The sequence below is a fragment of the Homo sapiens genome, chromosome 16 (assembly GCF_000001405.40).
Source record: "Homo sapiens chromosome 16, GRCh38.p14 Primary Assembly".
Classification (NCBI taxonomy): Eukaryota; Metazoa; Chordata; class Mammalia; order Primates; family Hominidae; genus Homo; species Homo sapiens.
In genome coordinates this window covers 72362891-72378957 of record NC_000016.10, presented here as the reverse complement: position 1 = coordinate 72378957, position 16067 = coordinate 72362891, and the positions used below count along the sequence as shown (strand labels likewise).

Sequence of the window (16067 nt, the reverse complement as noted above, 5' to 3'; positions counted from 1 at the left end):
CCTCATAGATTCTGAAGAGTATTCCCTATTAAAAGCATTTTAAATGGGAACAGAATTATGCTTTCAATAATATAAAAGAATAGTGCAATTAAATACACAATTATAAAAGGTAAAGGATTCTAATCCTGATTTTCAACTACTGTGAGAATATTTTTCAGATATAGTCACACATTTCTGTAAACAAAGGCTTTATATGCAATCTGAAAGTGAATCCTGAACCATCCTGAATTAGAAAACAATGGGGCCTCTTCATCTTCCCTCTATGGCAAGGTTCAGCAAACTTTCTCTGTAAAAAGCTAGATAATAAAAATTTTAGGCTTTGTGGGCCATACATTCTCTGTCACAGCTACTCAAATCTGTTGTTATAGCATGAAAGTAGTCACAGATGATGTGAAATAATAAACCTGGCTGTGTTCTGGTATAACTTTATTTAAACAAATAGGTAGTGGCCATTGTTTGCCAACCCCTGCTATACAGTCTATCTGTATGGGAGAGTCTTGGAGGCTTGACTCTTCCAGTATGATCTAGAGAAGTGTTCTCGAATAGAAATGTAATGGAAGCCACATACAAATTTTAAAATTTTCTAATAGCTACCTTTAAAAAAAGGTGAAATTCATTTTAACAATATATTTTATTTAACTCAATATATTCCAAATATTATATCAACATGTTGTCAACATTGTAAATTTATTAATGAAATATTTTACTTTCTCTTATTCATAGTAAGTCTTTAAAACCTGATGTGCATCTTACCCCTACAGCACATCTCAAGTCACACCAGCCACATTTCCAATGTTAAATAGCCACATGTGACCAATGGCTACCATATTAGAGAGTACAGCTCTAAACACTTTATTGCTCCCCCAGATTTGAATGCTTCTCCTACGGACTGGAACTTACCCACTGGTAAGACCACTTCTCACCCAGCAAGGTGTTTCTGGTACCCTTTCCCTTCCCTGACCTCATCTTCATCAGCCTTACCACTTGAAAATGCCCCCAAGCAATGCTTCTCAATGTTTACTGTGCATAATACTCAACTGGGAATCTTGTTAAAATGCATATTCTGGTTCTGTAGGTAAAGGATGGAACCTGAGATTTTGCATATTTAAGAAGCTCCCAATGCTACTAGTCTAAGAACCATACTGAAGAAGCAAGGATTGAAAAGACCACTCCAAAGAAGATGACCATAACTGGAATTGATGGCCTACCCTCCTCTAAAAATCTATCAGGTCTAATCCCAAACTTGCCAAACATCCCTGTTAGGTCACCACCAGAAATAAAAGCTTCTAGAAAGGCAGCACTGTCCAGTAGAAATGTAATTTAAAATTTTCTAGTAGCCACATTTAAAATAATTTTTAAAAAGTGAAATCAATTTTAGTAACATTTCTTTAAGCCAAAATATCAAAAACATTAAACAATTAATTAATATAAAAATTATTTATTTTTAACTTCTATTTTAAGTTCAAGGGTACATGTACAGGATGTGCAGGTTTGTTACATAGGTCAACTTGTGTCATGGAGGTTGGTTGTACAGATGATTTCATCACCCAGGTATTAAGCCTAGTACCCATTAGTTATTTTTCCTGCTTCTCTCCCTCCTCCCACCCTCTACCCTCCAATAGGTCCCAGCGTGTGTTGTTCCCCTCTATGTGTCTGTGTGTTCTCATCATTTAGCACCCACGTATATATGAGAACATGTGGTATTTTGGTTTTCTGTTCCTGCATTAGTTTGCTAGGGATAATGGCCTCTAGCTCCATCCACAACCCTGCAAAGGACATGGTGTCATTCTTTTTTTGTTACTGCAGAGTATTCCAGGTGTCTATGTACCATATTTTCTTTATCCAGTCTATCATTGATGGGCATTTGAGTTGATTCCATGTCTTTGCTACTGTGAATAGTGCTGCAATGAACATACACGTTCATAAGTCTTTATAATAGAACAATTTATAATCCTTTGGGCGTATACCCAGTAATGGGATTGCTGGATCAAACAGTAGTCTTTAGGTCTTTGAAGAATCACCACACTGTCTTCCACAATGGTTGAACTAATTTACACTCCTACCAACAGTGTAAAAGCATTCCTTTTTCTCCATAACCTTACCATCATCTGTTATTTTTTGACTTTTTAATAACAGCAAAAAATATGGAATTCTTCACAAATTTGTGTGTCATCCTTGCACGGGGGCCATGCTAATCATGCTAATCTTCTCTGTGTTGTGCCAATTTTAGCATATGTGCTGCTGAAGCAAGCACTGAAAAATTATTAATAAGAAACTTTACATTCTTTTTTGTACTGCCTTCAAAATCCAATATATGTTTTATACTTAGAGTACATCTTAATTTGGGCCAGATACATTTAAAGGGCTCAATAGGCACATATTTGCTAGTGACTATCATATTGGACAGTGCAGCTCTAAGGTCATCATCAGACCTCGGTGCTTATCCCTATGTGGTTCTGTACATCTCCAAATCTGACCCAGTTTCTCATCTCTTCTTATTCTCCCAAATCCTTTTCCTGTGTTCTCTGGAACTCATGGTCTGTCATTAGAAAAAAAACCCAAAACTCCTCTATTATTAATCTCATCTCAAAAATGTTCCTTTCAACTTCTTGTTCTAACCCAAACCTGGTTATCCCTTAGCACCCTGCTTCTCCTTCTGCTCTGTTAAAAGTGGTGGCTGCCTCTTCTCACATATCTTCAGGATCTGATGTGGGATAGATGCCTTCCTTCTGCCTCACTGCCCTGTTCAGGCCCTTTCTCCTCCTTCTTCTCTCAAAAACCCATTCCTTTGAATCAGATGCCAATAGATTATGGTACCTGCTATGTCTCCTTTGTTGTGGTCATTTGTTCAGTCTTCTGGTTGAGCAATTTATGTAGTCAGCATTTGATCGATCATATTCTTCTTCACCATCACACCTCTCAACATTCTTGGTGACTTCAGCATCTGCCTGATTCTTTTACCTCCTTACTTCCACTCATCTTTTCCTCTATCCCTTCTCAGGTACCCACCACACCACATCCAAATCTAGATTTAAGAATCCCATTTAAAAATGTTTCTAGCTCACTCAAAGTTCAGAATTCATTTGCCAACAATTCTTCAGCCACATTGTACCTACCCATCAGCTGATTCAACTTCATATTTCCTTCCTCATATCATCATTTCTCATGTCACCAATAATGAATTCCATGGTCCATGACTATAATTAACCTGATGTATATCCCCTTGCGCCTCTTTCCCTTATACTTGCTGGTAACCCTAAAGCTGATAAACCCAACATCTCACCTACTGTCATCCTTACCTGAACAGCTAAATGTGGTTAAGGAAAACGTACGATCATACTGACTGGTCTCATTTAAAATTTTTACTACAAATCTTAAATCATCCTTGGTATTACTCAGTCTTAGTTGATAACTTCATGTCTTATTTCACTGAGAAATTAGAAACCATCAAAAGGGAACCTATTCCTCCCACAACCAAATCTACCATCTATCATCTCTGCCTTCCCTCCAACTACACTGAATGGCATCTCCCTACTCCTAAGGCCAGTGCGTTGGCTTGGGAATTGGATTCCATCTCTTCCTCAAAGCCTTGGTCTCTGCAATTGTATGCTCTCTTACACATCATCCTTTTCCTTTTCTATTATAAAATTTTCTTAATGGCACACAAACATGCTATGGTTGCTCCCAACATAAACAAAGCCTTTATCTAAATAAAATCCTCCAACTAACACCCCATTTCTCTGGTCTCCTTTCTAACTCATCAATAGAGTTGTCTATACTTGCTGACTCCATTTTCTTCACCACCATTTCCCACTTTGTCCTCCAATCAAGCTTTTGTTCTTGTTACTCCAATGGAACTCTGTGGTCAAGGTGGCCAATGACTTTCATCCAGCCAAATCAAATAACCAATTCTCTGTTCTCATTTTACTCAAACTTTGGGTGGCATTTTATACAGCTCATTACTCCCTCCTTTTTCAAATCTCTGTTTTTGTTGTTTTTGGTAGTTTCCGGTTATTCTCCTGTAACACAGGTCACTCCTTTTCTGTCTCCTTTGATGCCTCCTTTTCCTCTTCCTGGCCTCTACTTTTTGGAGTACCCCAAAGCCATCCTTAGGCCTTTTCTCTGTCTAAACTCACTCTTACAGTGATACCATCCAGTTACATGGCTTGAAATGGTATCTATAAGCTTATGATAACAAAATGTACGTTTATCTTCATTCCAGACTTCCTGTGAGCCTCACTTTATCTACCCTTGGATGTTTAATGGTCATCTCAAATTTAACCTGGTTAAACTGAAGCTTTTTATTTCATTTTCAGTTTGCTCCCCCTTCTGTCTTCTGCCATTCAGTTAAAGGCTTACTACTCACTCTCATCCGATTCCTCTACAGACTCAAAGCTCTATCTTCAAAATATGTCCTGAATCCCTCTACTTCTTACCACCTCCACTGTTGCCACTTTAGTCTAAGGGACCATAATCCATAATCGTCTCTTGCTCAGATTTCTGTGGTAACTTCCTATGTGGTTTTCTTGCTTTCTTTTTGCTACTCCATCCGCACCCTTCAGTTTAGTCTTATTGTAAGGTACCCTTTAGGCATGATTGTAAGGTACCCTTTGATTGCTTTCATCATGGCTAGAATAAAATTCACACTCCTTATCATGGCCTTTAAGTATCTACTTCTCTTGGGTGCTGGGGTACTGCCTGTTTCTCCCACCACTCTCTCCCATGTTACTTTACTCCAGCGACATTGGCTGTATTTAAAATTTTTTAATATGCCAAACTTGTTCTAGTCTCAAAGCCTTTACATTCTATGTGAAACATTCATTCCCCCAGATCTTCATAGGGCTTGCTATTTTACATCATTAATGCCCCAGTTTGAATGTCAGTTCCTAAGTAATAGATCACCCTGTTTCAAATAATTCCCTTTATTAATCTCTACTCTTTTACATGGCTCAATTTTCCTTCATAGCACTTATAACTACCTGAAGTTCTATTTTTAATTAACTGTTTACTTTTTATTTTTTATTTTTTAAATTATTCACTAGAAAGAAAGCTTTGTGAATGAAGGGACGTTGTCCTACTCACTGCCGTGTCTCCTTCATCTAGAACACTACCTGGCACACAGTGAGTGGTGAGTAAATGAGTCTGAAACATTTCAGGAAATAGATCATGTAGTTGATGAAATCAGAATTAGTTGTTTGAATTGTCTTCTAAGCCTTCTAAGAACAAAAGGCTCTAGTACAAAGTAAGCCCTGCAATCTAGTCCATATCAGGAGCTTGTCCCAATGCTCATTAGTGGTTGGATGCAGAAATTCCCAACGATTCCTGCTAATCCGCTAATTTGCCTATTTCCATCAATAGTTACTGGCTATTTGTTTCTGCTGCCCAGTCTTCACCTAACTTGCCTTACAAGAGCTTGCTTTTAAACTGAGAATTTCTTTGCTTGCTTTGCCATATCCTTGCTTGGCTTTTCTTTCTTTAACAAGCACAACAGCATGCTGCTGCATCTTCAAAGAGTAAATTAATTCTGTCCGCAAAAGGGTCAAGTGCTAGAAAGTGCATAGCCATGCAGTTTGCATGGCAGGATATAGAAGATATGATGCTAATAAGATTCTAAGATGAGAACAGCAGACTGTCTCTGGGGATTCAGATGAAGGGGTCTGTAAATTTTAAAAGAAATGGTCTCCGAAAACTAATGATGTCTGCTTTCCAATTCATTAATAATGTGGAGTGGGGAGATGGGAGTGAAATCCAGGCCATGCTGTGAAATATCAAAATGTAACGAGGAAGAAAACAGTAAGAGCCATCTCAATGGGGTCATAAAGCTGGGAGAAGGAGGCAAACCGTAAGAAGATGTGGTGGTGCTGTATGGAGGGGAGGGAATCTATCCACCCCATGTGTATATATTTATGTGCATATAGTACCTTTATCTGTACACGAGTAGATAAAAAGTTCTGCTAGGAAAAAAATACTGCAACATTGATAAGGCTTTTGCAATTTTCACATTTAAGGTGACTCAGAATATTTCAAGTATTGTAAAAACACGTCTAAGCTGTCTGCCTTTCCATATTTACAAACCCTGCCCTTCACCTCTTTGCATTGCATACAAGGAACTGAGTAATAAGAACCTCAGCCTTGTTTGTAGTTAATAGTGGAAGAAAAAACCTTCAGGCAAAGCCTAATGAACCAAGAGCAATTCTGAGCTCTCCTCTGTAATATCTGCCGAGGCAGTGTCTTTCCAAGGGCTGCCTGGACATATCGTGTGACCTTGCTGCTTTACATCATTAAAATTTCCCATTACTGGAATGGTGTTTGCATGGAGGGGCTGTTGTGCAGATATTATGGCTGAGTTTCTCCCTGCTGCCTTCCGAGTTTGCTCTAATAGAAAATGCCTCTCTGCGTGAACAGTTCCCGCGAGCTGGGAGGTGTGCAGCAGCAGGAGAGTTTAGCTTTGGCTTTTATTTTGACAAAGCTATCACATTTTGCCGATTGAGGTTATGGTCTTTCCTTCTATCTCTGTATTTTATCTGCATGATATTTTCTGATCTCCCTTTTAAACCCGCATTAGTTACAATTGAGGCTCTGGGGTGGCAGCCTGCCTTGGAGCCATGATATCGTCAGCTTTTCTTATGAGCCACTAAATTGACTGACTGATTCAGTGGGGTTCAGTCATGTGGAACCTTTCCAACGGGCCTAGCCTCAGAAAGGAGACCCCTCTGTGCCAGATAGAGGCCTAGGGGGTTAGTGCAACCCCCAAGGGGCCAAAAATTTTAAAAGCAAAAAGAAGTGCTGCCTCATTTTCCAGGGCCATAGGTTCTGTCGGCCACTTCCTTCAGAGCTTCCTTCTTCCGCATGTAGCCGCCTGCACCATGAAGCTATGGAAGTTGAAGAAATTGGTGGCATTTCCTAATCCAGGCCACAATCCCCAGACCCATTTTATCACCCTCCTAAGAAGCTGTTACACTTTCGTGCAACTCTGATCTTATGATTTTAGCAGAAAGTTTCACAATAACAAATGCTTTTGCCTAGAGGGAGCGGAAATATTTCAAAGTACTGGTTATACAGCTGTAAACTGTTTAGAACCAATTGAAGGGGGGGAGAGATTCATTGGCCACCTCTCCCAAGTCTCTAAACAAACCATAGCAGATTGAGAGGTTTTGAACCCAAAGCTAGTGCCCTAGTTTCTAAAGCAAGATAGTGTGACCATTTCTTTTTCCGTGGCTTTACTATTTTCAGTGAGACAGTGAATTCTTACTGATAAATGCTTCTGAAGCTGGGAGGATAGCACAACCACATGCCTCAAACACTTCACTTTGTTCACCTTCTCTTGAATGTGTGGGACGTGGCAGTCTAGAGTGGGGGCTGTCGGGAGAGGGGGTTGTAGAGGTGAGGAATTTATTTCCCCAGGAAATCTCATTAGCGATGCAGTGCCTGTTTTTCATTGAGGTTTCTGCTCCTTAGCTTTGTTTTCAGCTGAGTAACCGAGCCTGAAAGCCGTCTGGTGACTCACAAAAGGTCACGCTGAGAGTCGGGGGCACAGACCAGAGCACACTGCCTACCTGTGATTGATGTGTATTAAAGCTGTCTTGAGCCACTCATAAACACAGCAAGAATCCTGTTCTCTTTTCATCAGTGCTCTTGACCAAGACTTGATTTACTGTTTTGAAATCAGCTGCTGCTTCAGTCCTCTACAATAGCTTCTTTAATAGCTTGTCATAACAGTTGATGACAATTTGGAAAAGCTCACATATTCAATATATTTTTAAAATTGACTTTGCACTATGCCAGGTACCAAGGCTTTGTAAACAGTCTAATTGTTCCTTGAGTGTTTGCTGACCTAAAGGAAAGTGTTGATGAATCACACCCTCCTCTTCTATCTATGAGGGTATTGAGATGTGTATTCAATATTGTAGCAAATCACTGTTGAAAATTGGTTCCATGTCCCTGAGGCTACTTACCTCAAAAGGTGAAACGGCAGAAGTACCTGCTAGAGAAGACTGACCAGCTCTGCTATTTCTGGATGAGATTGCTTTAAAGTTTGTAGGAGAAGGGATTGAAATTGGATCAGAGTGTTATAAGTGACAGTACAATTCTCATTCTGGTAAAGAATAATCATCATCATCTATAGCCATTGAGTGGGTTTTCTCAGTTTGATACTTATGGCTATGCTATAATGAAGTTTAAGACTGATGTCAATATGACTGAGACAGTAGTTGTATAATCTCAGAATAAATGTGTGCACAGAATATGTGACTTATCTGAAGTGCAACAACAATTAGATGTAAATATTTCTGATCAATTTGATTGTTACTTTTTGATGGCCTGCACAAGTTGAAGGGCCCCCTGACTTCCCAGTAGCTACTCTAAACCTGTGTCCAGGAATGCCCCCTGGGGTGATTTTCAGAACACGTACAGCAGCCATTTAGAATGAATGCACCACTTGCACAGAACAGATGCTCCCCACAGCAGCCAGTGCCACTGTACCAAAACATCCAACTGAGTTTCAACTCTGCTTCTCACTCCTCTCCATACACACAAATTTAACCTATCCTTCCTTGGCCTAAGTTGTACTTTCTTCATGAAGCCTTTCTTATTCTATAGTTTCTTTTTTTTTAAATTCTGAATTCCTACAACACTTAACAACCTCTGCATCCCAATTGTCCCTATATTGCTATTATTCTACTTTTCTATATTCATCATAGCAGGATGTTGTGCACCTGCAGACATTTCAAAAATATTTTTGAACATGGAATATTCTGGTGAAAATGCCCAGAGATGATGTTTTAAAGTGCTACGTTTGGTATAGGGCTCATGTGAATTTCTTTTGTGTGCTTAAGCTTGGTATCCAAGTTCTCCATTTTCTTTTAGAGGAGCCACCTGAACAAAAATTACATTTCAGCAAAGAACTGTAGCATCAGGACACTGTTACCAGTGCCTCTTTTATTGTAAACATTCTTTTCTCGTATACTATACTCTGCACATTTTCCAGATGAGAAACTTTGCTCCATTCTCTTTAATTTGGAGTGGAATTATGAGTGAGGTCTGCTATAGTGATGGAAGAGTTCAGTTTTCACCAGGTCCTATGGAGAGTTGTATATATTATAATTGATTCTGTATATAATAGGTCAGAGTTTCAGATTTGTGCAGCATGTAATTTCTCTTCAGAACAGCAAAAAATACATATTGAGATAAATTCACAGGAAGTTCCCCAGCATTCGGCTTTTTGCTAAAAGGTTAATTTGATTATCTGAAACTGGGAATGTGGTTTTTTTCCTCCATAGAAATGATATCAAGAGAGACAAGGTTTTAAGCCAGCCCTACTGTGAGTTATCCTCAAAGCCTCCAGCAAAGAAGGGAGCCTGAACTCTGCCAAGAGCGTTTTAAAAAAGAAAGACAGAGATGGATCTTTGAGTAAGACTGTGAGGGGAGAACCCTCAAAGCACTGGGTATTGTCCCTAGATGATGGCTAATGTATTTCTTTTGTAAAGCTAGAGTAGGGTGTCAGGGGTCTTGTAAAGCTGGTGTGAATAAGTGGGGAATTACCAGTTGCTTCTTGGAAACAGCTAGGATAAGCCATGTGTGACAGTAAAACAGACATCAGAGCAGAATTAGAAGAGCTAGTTCTAGTCCTGGCTCTGCTACAAACTCTGGTTAACCATCAGCATGTCACTGTACCTCTCTGGCCCTTTTCCTCGTCTACAAGATGAAGGGTTTCACTATACAAGGCTCCTTTCAGCGAAGCATACTATGACAATCATCTTTTTTGTTTTGTTTGTTTGTTTGTTTGTTTGTTTGTTTGTTTTTTGAGACAGAGTCTCACTCTGTCACCCAGGCTGGAGTGCAATGGCGCAGTCTCGGCTCACTGCAACTTCTGGCTCCTGGGTTCAAGCAATTCTCCTGCCTCAGCCTCCTGAGTAGCTGGGACTACAGGCACACACCACCACGCCCAGCTATCATCTTTCTTATAATGCTGTCTCTACTAAATCTCCGTTCTGTCCTCCTTTTCATGATGCCTGTGTATATTCTTATATTTCTTTCATTCTGATGAATCCAGCCACTCTTTCCACTCAACCCACTCACGGGCTAACAATAATAAAACAGAGAAGGGAAAAATACTTAAACACATACTGGTTATCACAGTCCATATTTTATTTACTATAAATATGTCCATGTTACTCTCTGTCTTAATCGGAAAGCCCCTTGAGAAAAAAGACTATGCCTTCTTTTGTTTATAACAGATTTTAAAGCACCTGATGGATTTGGAAAATATTTAATGAAGACAATGATGCTGACATCTCAAGTTAAAAGGTAGTATTCCTTTTTCTATTATTTTAATATTTCTGAATGCATAGCAGAATATTGCTTCTTGTACATACACTTGTCATTTTTTGCTAGTGCTAATGGATACAGTTGGTACAATTGTATGACACTGACAAAGCCACCTGTGACTGTATTAATTTGGTTTGAATTATATAGTGTTTCACAGTGACCTGAAAACCTACTCAGTTATATGCCAGTATGTGTGTGTGATTATCTTCCCTTACAGAAATATAGATAGCATTATTACTTCAAGTTGATTGTTCAGACTTTCTGTCCCTATTTACCCAAGACTAGTTTTTGTAGCTCAAATTTTAGCATTTTGTCAGGTAAGATTGCAGGTGGCAGATGTCACCTAATATTTGGATGAATATTTTCAAAATCAGTTTTTTCCTATAAACCCCTAATGGATTATAGAACAACTTCCAAGCCTGTGCTTTCATGAGTAACTTAAGTTCTTAACTGCAGTATCACTGAATGTGAGAAGAGTTGCAAGTAATATGCTAAAAAGCTTTCAGATCTTTTCTTTTCTTTCACAGCAAAAGGATTATAGCCAATGACATGGCTAGTTACATTTCCCAGCCTCCTTCCCAGTTAATTACAACCACATGAGTAGTTTTTCTCCAGTGTGAGTTGGCAGGATGTGTACCACTTCTGGGCTGGTCTTTTGAGAAATCAGGTGTGCCTTCTCCATACTTTTTCCTTCCCCTGGCTAGAGAGAAATCATGTTCTTGTGTTTTTCTGCATTAGTGACAGTAAAAAAAAAAAAAAAAAAAAAAAAATCTTTTCTCATATGCCTCTAGAACACCTCCTCTTATATCTGGAACACATGACCATACCTAACTCCAAGAATATCTGGGAAATGGAGTATCTAGCTATTTCCACCTCTGTGGTTGGAAGTGGGCAAGGGAGAAGAGGGTCAGAAATGGGTAGCTAATAAATCATGTCTGCAATAATGACCTAAACACGTAATGCAAGAAGTTTGAAGAAAAACAAAATAAACACAATTTGGGTGGAGATAATTTAGAAAGTAGCAGAAAATAGTGAAGTAAACAAAAAACCTGAAAGAACTAGCTAATAGCCATTAGAATAGCTAATAGAAAGAACTGATAGCCAACAAAAAGCCTGAAAGAACTAGCTAATGACTATTAGCTAGTTCTAATTAGCTAGTTCTTTAAAAGTCCAACCTAAATGGTGAAAATTCTGGCAATTCTGACAAAGGAAAACAGAGTCACTAATAAACAACTTAAGGCAGCAGACATAAATATGAACACAGAGTTTTTTCCAAGTGTAAAAAAAAGCTAAGTATGAATTAATGCCAACAAATTTGGAAATCTAAAGTAAAAGGTTGATTTTTTTAGAAAATGTAAATATAAACATTGACTCAAGAAGCAGAATACTAACATAGAAGAAATGTTTTAAATAGTCAAAGATGTAATCCTTAAAAAGCCTTGAGACTAGATGGTATTATGGGCAAACTATTTTAAAACTTAAAGAGATAATTTCTAGGTTATATAAATTTTCCAGAATAGAGAAAGATAGAAACCTTCCCCATTGGCTGTATATGGCTATCATAATCTTGTTTATAATTCATACAAATAATAACAGAATAAGCCAATTTATGAACATGTTTAAATTCTAAATATTAACAAATTAAGTGCTGTTTTGAAAGAAAAGAATGTGTTCCTAGCTGATATGAGATTTAAGATCTTGAATGATTAAAATTTATTTCTGGAATGCAAGGATAGTTTAACATTAGGAAATCTATTATTTTAATATATTACATTGCCAGATTAAAGTAGAAAACCAGACCGTCTTCTTAAAAGATGCCAAGGAACAGTTTGATAGCACTTGTTTCTAACTGAATGCAGTTTTTAAAATCCTTTAGTAAACTGAGAAAAGGAAAAAACAAACACTTTTATCCAATAAAGGTTTATGCTAGAAATCTACAATAAACATTATAATTGAAAGTATTTGGCAGAGATGGCTAGCTGTACTCCACTATCTGTTTCCCTGTTCTTCCTCAGTTATATGATGAATCCTGTTTTTAAAGCCAGGCTCCTGGCCACGTGGAATAAAAATTACATTTCTCAGTTTCCCTGGCCACCAGGTATAGCCATGTGATGAGGCTGGCTAAGTTTGACAAGTTAGCTATAAACAAAGTTATCAAGAATAATTTCAAGGGAGTGTCCTTGTCAACAAAGATGAATTTCAACAGACCACAGTATCAAGTTACAAAAGGCTACAGGCATTGTAATACCAACTGTATAGATGTAAAACATACAGATTCATAAATATGACTTAAACGTACACAAAAAATATAGAAAATGTTCATGAGAATGAAACACCAATATCAGAGGGAATGGGAAGGGAACGGGGTGGGGTAGGGGCATCTTAGCTTTATTTGTAATGTTTTATTTCCTTAAAGCTAACAAAAACAATAGCAAAGTGTTCCGAATCAACTGTGGCAAACAATTAACAGCTAGCTGTTAAACCTGGATTATATTAAAAGGCCCAGCTATTTAATTAGATCAAATTATTTTATGTGTTTTTCTATGTGTATAAATGTTGCATAATTTAAAAATCTTTAGTTGTATAAAATAAAGGCTCGAAACAAAAGGAAGTCAAAATAAAATATCAGAGGTTTCCTTGTTCTTCTCAGATTCCAGGATGATTGAACATATGTGAGCCTCAGGGGTTGGCCTAATTGCCCCCTCTCCAAGTAAAAAAAAAAGTCCCAAAGCAAAGGCTAAAGGTAGTCACTTTGATTTGTCATATCCTAGAGATCGTTCTGATGAAAGAATCAATTCAGATGCTCTATTACTAGCAATAGATTATTAAGTGACTACAATCAGAGTAAAACTACCCTTATAATTACTGCAGGGATTCTTTTGCTGAATTTGTCCACTAAAGGTAATGACAGTAGAAAATAAAATGTAATACAGCCCATTCATAAACAGCAACAAAAAGCATTAAATGGCAAAGAATAAACCTAACAAGAATTATGCAAGACTATAAAAATTTATCAAAAGTTATAAAAGGAAATCTAAATACATGGAAAGATACTCTATCTATTCCCTAGATGGAAACACTCAATATTTCACAGGTATTAATTCTCCTCAACTTAATCTATACATTTAAACAGAGTCCCAGTAAAATGGAACCTGATAATCTAATTCCCAGATTCATCTGAAATAGGATATCCAGAAATACTTTTTAAAAGATAATGAGGAAAGGTGATCCATACCAGATATATAAATACCTTATAAAACTTTAATAATTGAAACAGCATGGTATGAATAGCAAAATAGAAAAATGGAACAGATGATTCAGAAACATTTATATAAAATTTTAATATAGTAAGCGATGTATTTGAAATCAGCAAAATGAGTAAAAAATGATATATATGCAAATATTATGTATATGGTTAGACCCTAACTATAATGTTCACAAATATAAATTCCAAATTGATAACAGAGCTAAACCTAAAGACAAAAAATTTACAAAACTATCGGAAGAGAAGAGAGGAATATTTCTCTATTTTATAGTAGCTAAAAACAATACTCAGAAGTCATAAGTGAAGAAATGTATACATTGGATTTCACAAATGGTAACATAAAGTGGGAGAAGATATTTGCAGTGTGTGTAACTGAAAAAGGGTTAATAACCACAACACGTAAAGAGGTCCTAAAAATCAGTAGGGAAAAATTCAATCAAAAATGATAAAAAATATATAGAGAGACAAATACAGAATAATATTAAATAAGAAATAAAACGGTTAATACTCATGTGAAAATATTCTTCATCTCATTAGTAATCAGACAGAAAGGAAGTTGAAAAAAAGGAGTGAGATTTGTCAGTAGATTGGCCAGTATTTTAGATAGATAATTCTCAGTATTATCAAGAACCTGAGGAAACAAGTACACTCTCATACACCCATTACCTGTCTGTTCCATTTTCCCCCTTGCTTACTCCTGTCTTGCCACATTAGCCACCTTGCTAGTACACACTAGCTCTCTGTCCACCCTTATATACTTTGACTTGCTGTTTTCTCTACCTTGAATCCTCTTCCCTCAGATAGTGGGGTGGCTAACTCCAATACTTCCTCCAAGCTTTTTTTGGAGATTACCATCTTAGCATAATACTTGTACCACCTAATTTAAATAAGCAACCCACCCCATTACTTCCAATACCTCTAAACCTGCTTTATTTTCCTCCGCCGTGTTAAATAGGTAGTAGGTAGGTAAGTAGCCGCTGAAAAAACATGTTTTGAAAGAATAAAAAAACATGCCTCTGGTTAAGAGTATAAATTGGTACAAATTTTCAGGACATTTCACATTGAATTAAATACTAAAAGAACTAAAATGTGATCCAGCAATGCGGCTACTAGGTATCTTTTCTTAACAAATATATTTGGTCTGGGCACAGTGGCTCCCCTCTGTAATCCCAGCATTTTCAGAGGCCTAGGTGGGAGGATTGCTTGAGGCCAGGAGTTTGAGACCAGCCTGGGCAACAGAGTGAGACCTCTATCTCTACAAAAAAATTTTAAAATTAGCTGAACAAGATGGTGCATACCTGTAGTCCTATCTTCTCAGGAGGCTAGGTGGTAGGATTGCTTGAGCCCAGGAGTTCCAGATTACAGTGAGCTATGATTGCACCACTGCGCTCTAGCCTGGGTGACAGAGTAAGACCTTGTCTCTAAAAAAATTAAAATAAAAATTAAAACATTTGTACACAAGGCAACATGTACAAAGATAAGCCAGTATGTTTTGTGCAATGTTATTTTGATAATAAAAAAGAAACAGCCTAAATATCCACCAATTTGGAAGAGGTTAAATTTAAATATGGTACATTTATATGATACAATACTATGCAGATGTTATAAAAATAAGATGGGCTGTAGGTACTTATATGGAAAGATATCTTATGTTGTAATGTTAAGTGGAAATTAAACAAGTCACCAGAAAATATCTAAACTATAATTTTATTTATGGAAAAAACACACTATGCATGCATTTGCATATTTATACACACGTTTGTTTTTAGATATATAAACACATGCGTACATATAAATAAATGAAAGTGCAAATTTAAGATGCACACCAAATTGTTAATAATTTGTTAACTTCTCTGTGGAGAGTAGGAGTTTGGGTGTGGAGGAGCTGGTACAGGAGTGTATTCTATATATTTTCCTATTTCAGTCTTTTACAATGAGAATATATTCATGTATTACATTTTTAATTAAAAAATAGAATGTCTGCAAGGTTATCCTCCTCCAATGTCAGTCTCACTCATTTGTATCCTGAAATGCTCTCTTGGGTGGCAGTGAATGAGATGAAGTAATGGCCAGTATGCTGGGAATTGGGTTTAGAAGAGCATTGTGATAGGGAACATTAGTCAGCCACGTATGCCCCCATAGAAAAAAAGATTAAAAACCATGTTCCTGCCCCATTGTTTCATTTCCTCCTGCAGCATCTAGAAACAAAAGAAGCCTCATGTTGCCTTCACTGTGGTCACGATATGTCAAAAGTCCAGGAGGGGGATTTTTTTTTTCAGCTTAGGCACATTTCATGCCTACTGAATAGCTCATACGTACAGAATAGCTCTTTGTGCTGTATTCTGAGTGATTTTAAATAAATAAATGCTTCCCTGCCAACATCAAATACAGTGAAATAAATTGCAGGACTCAGGGTGTGTAAATGAGCATTGTGGCAGTCCCCTCTTTTAACTCATATATGTGGATCAGAAAATGT

General features: G+C 37.4%; 1 long non-coding RNA gene and 1 pseudogene across 1 annotated transcript in view, besides 1 other annotated feature; one reads left to right on the top strand and one right to left on the bottom strand.

Moving 5' to 3' along the window:
* Window positions 1-16067, top strand: part of LINC01572 (long intergenic non-protein coding RNA 1572) — a 384069-nt gene that overhangs the window by 286013 nt on the left and 81989 nt on the right. Inside the window, exon 8 of the long non-coding RNA NR_126330.2 lies at window positions 10236-10305. This is a non-coding gene — a long non-coding RNA (long intergenic non-protein coding RNA 1572). The remainder of the gene's footprint in view (window positions 1-10235; window positions 10306-16067) is intronic.
* Window positions 2139-2254, bottom strand: LOC124903812 (uncharacterized; annotated as a pseudogene).
* Window positions 5266-8324: an enhancer, noted in NCBI's record as "VISTA enhancer hs108". NCBI's record gives its function as "enhancer in: limb[4/4]" and the evidence as "EXISTENCE:transgenic organism evidence [ECO:0001131][PMID:17130149]".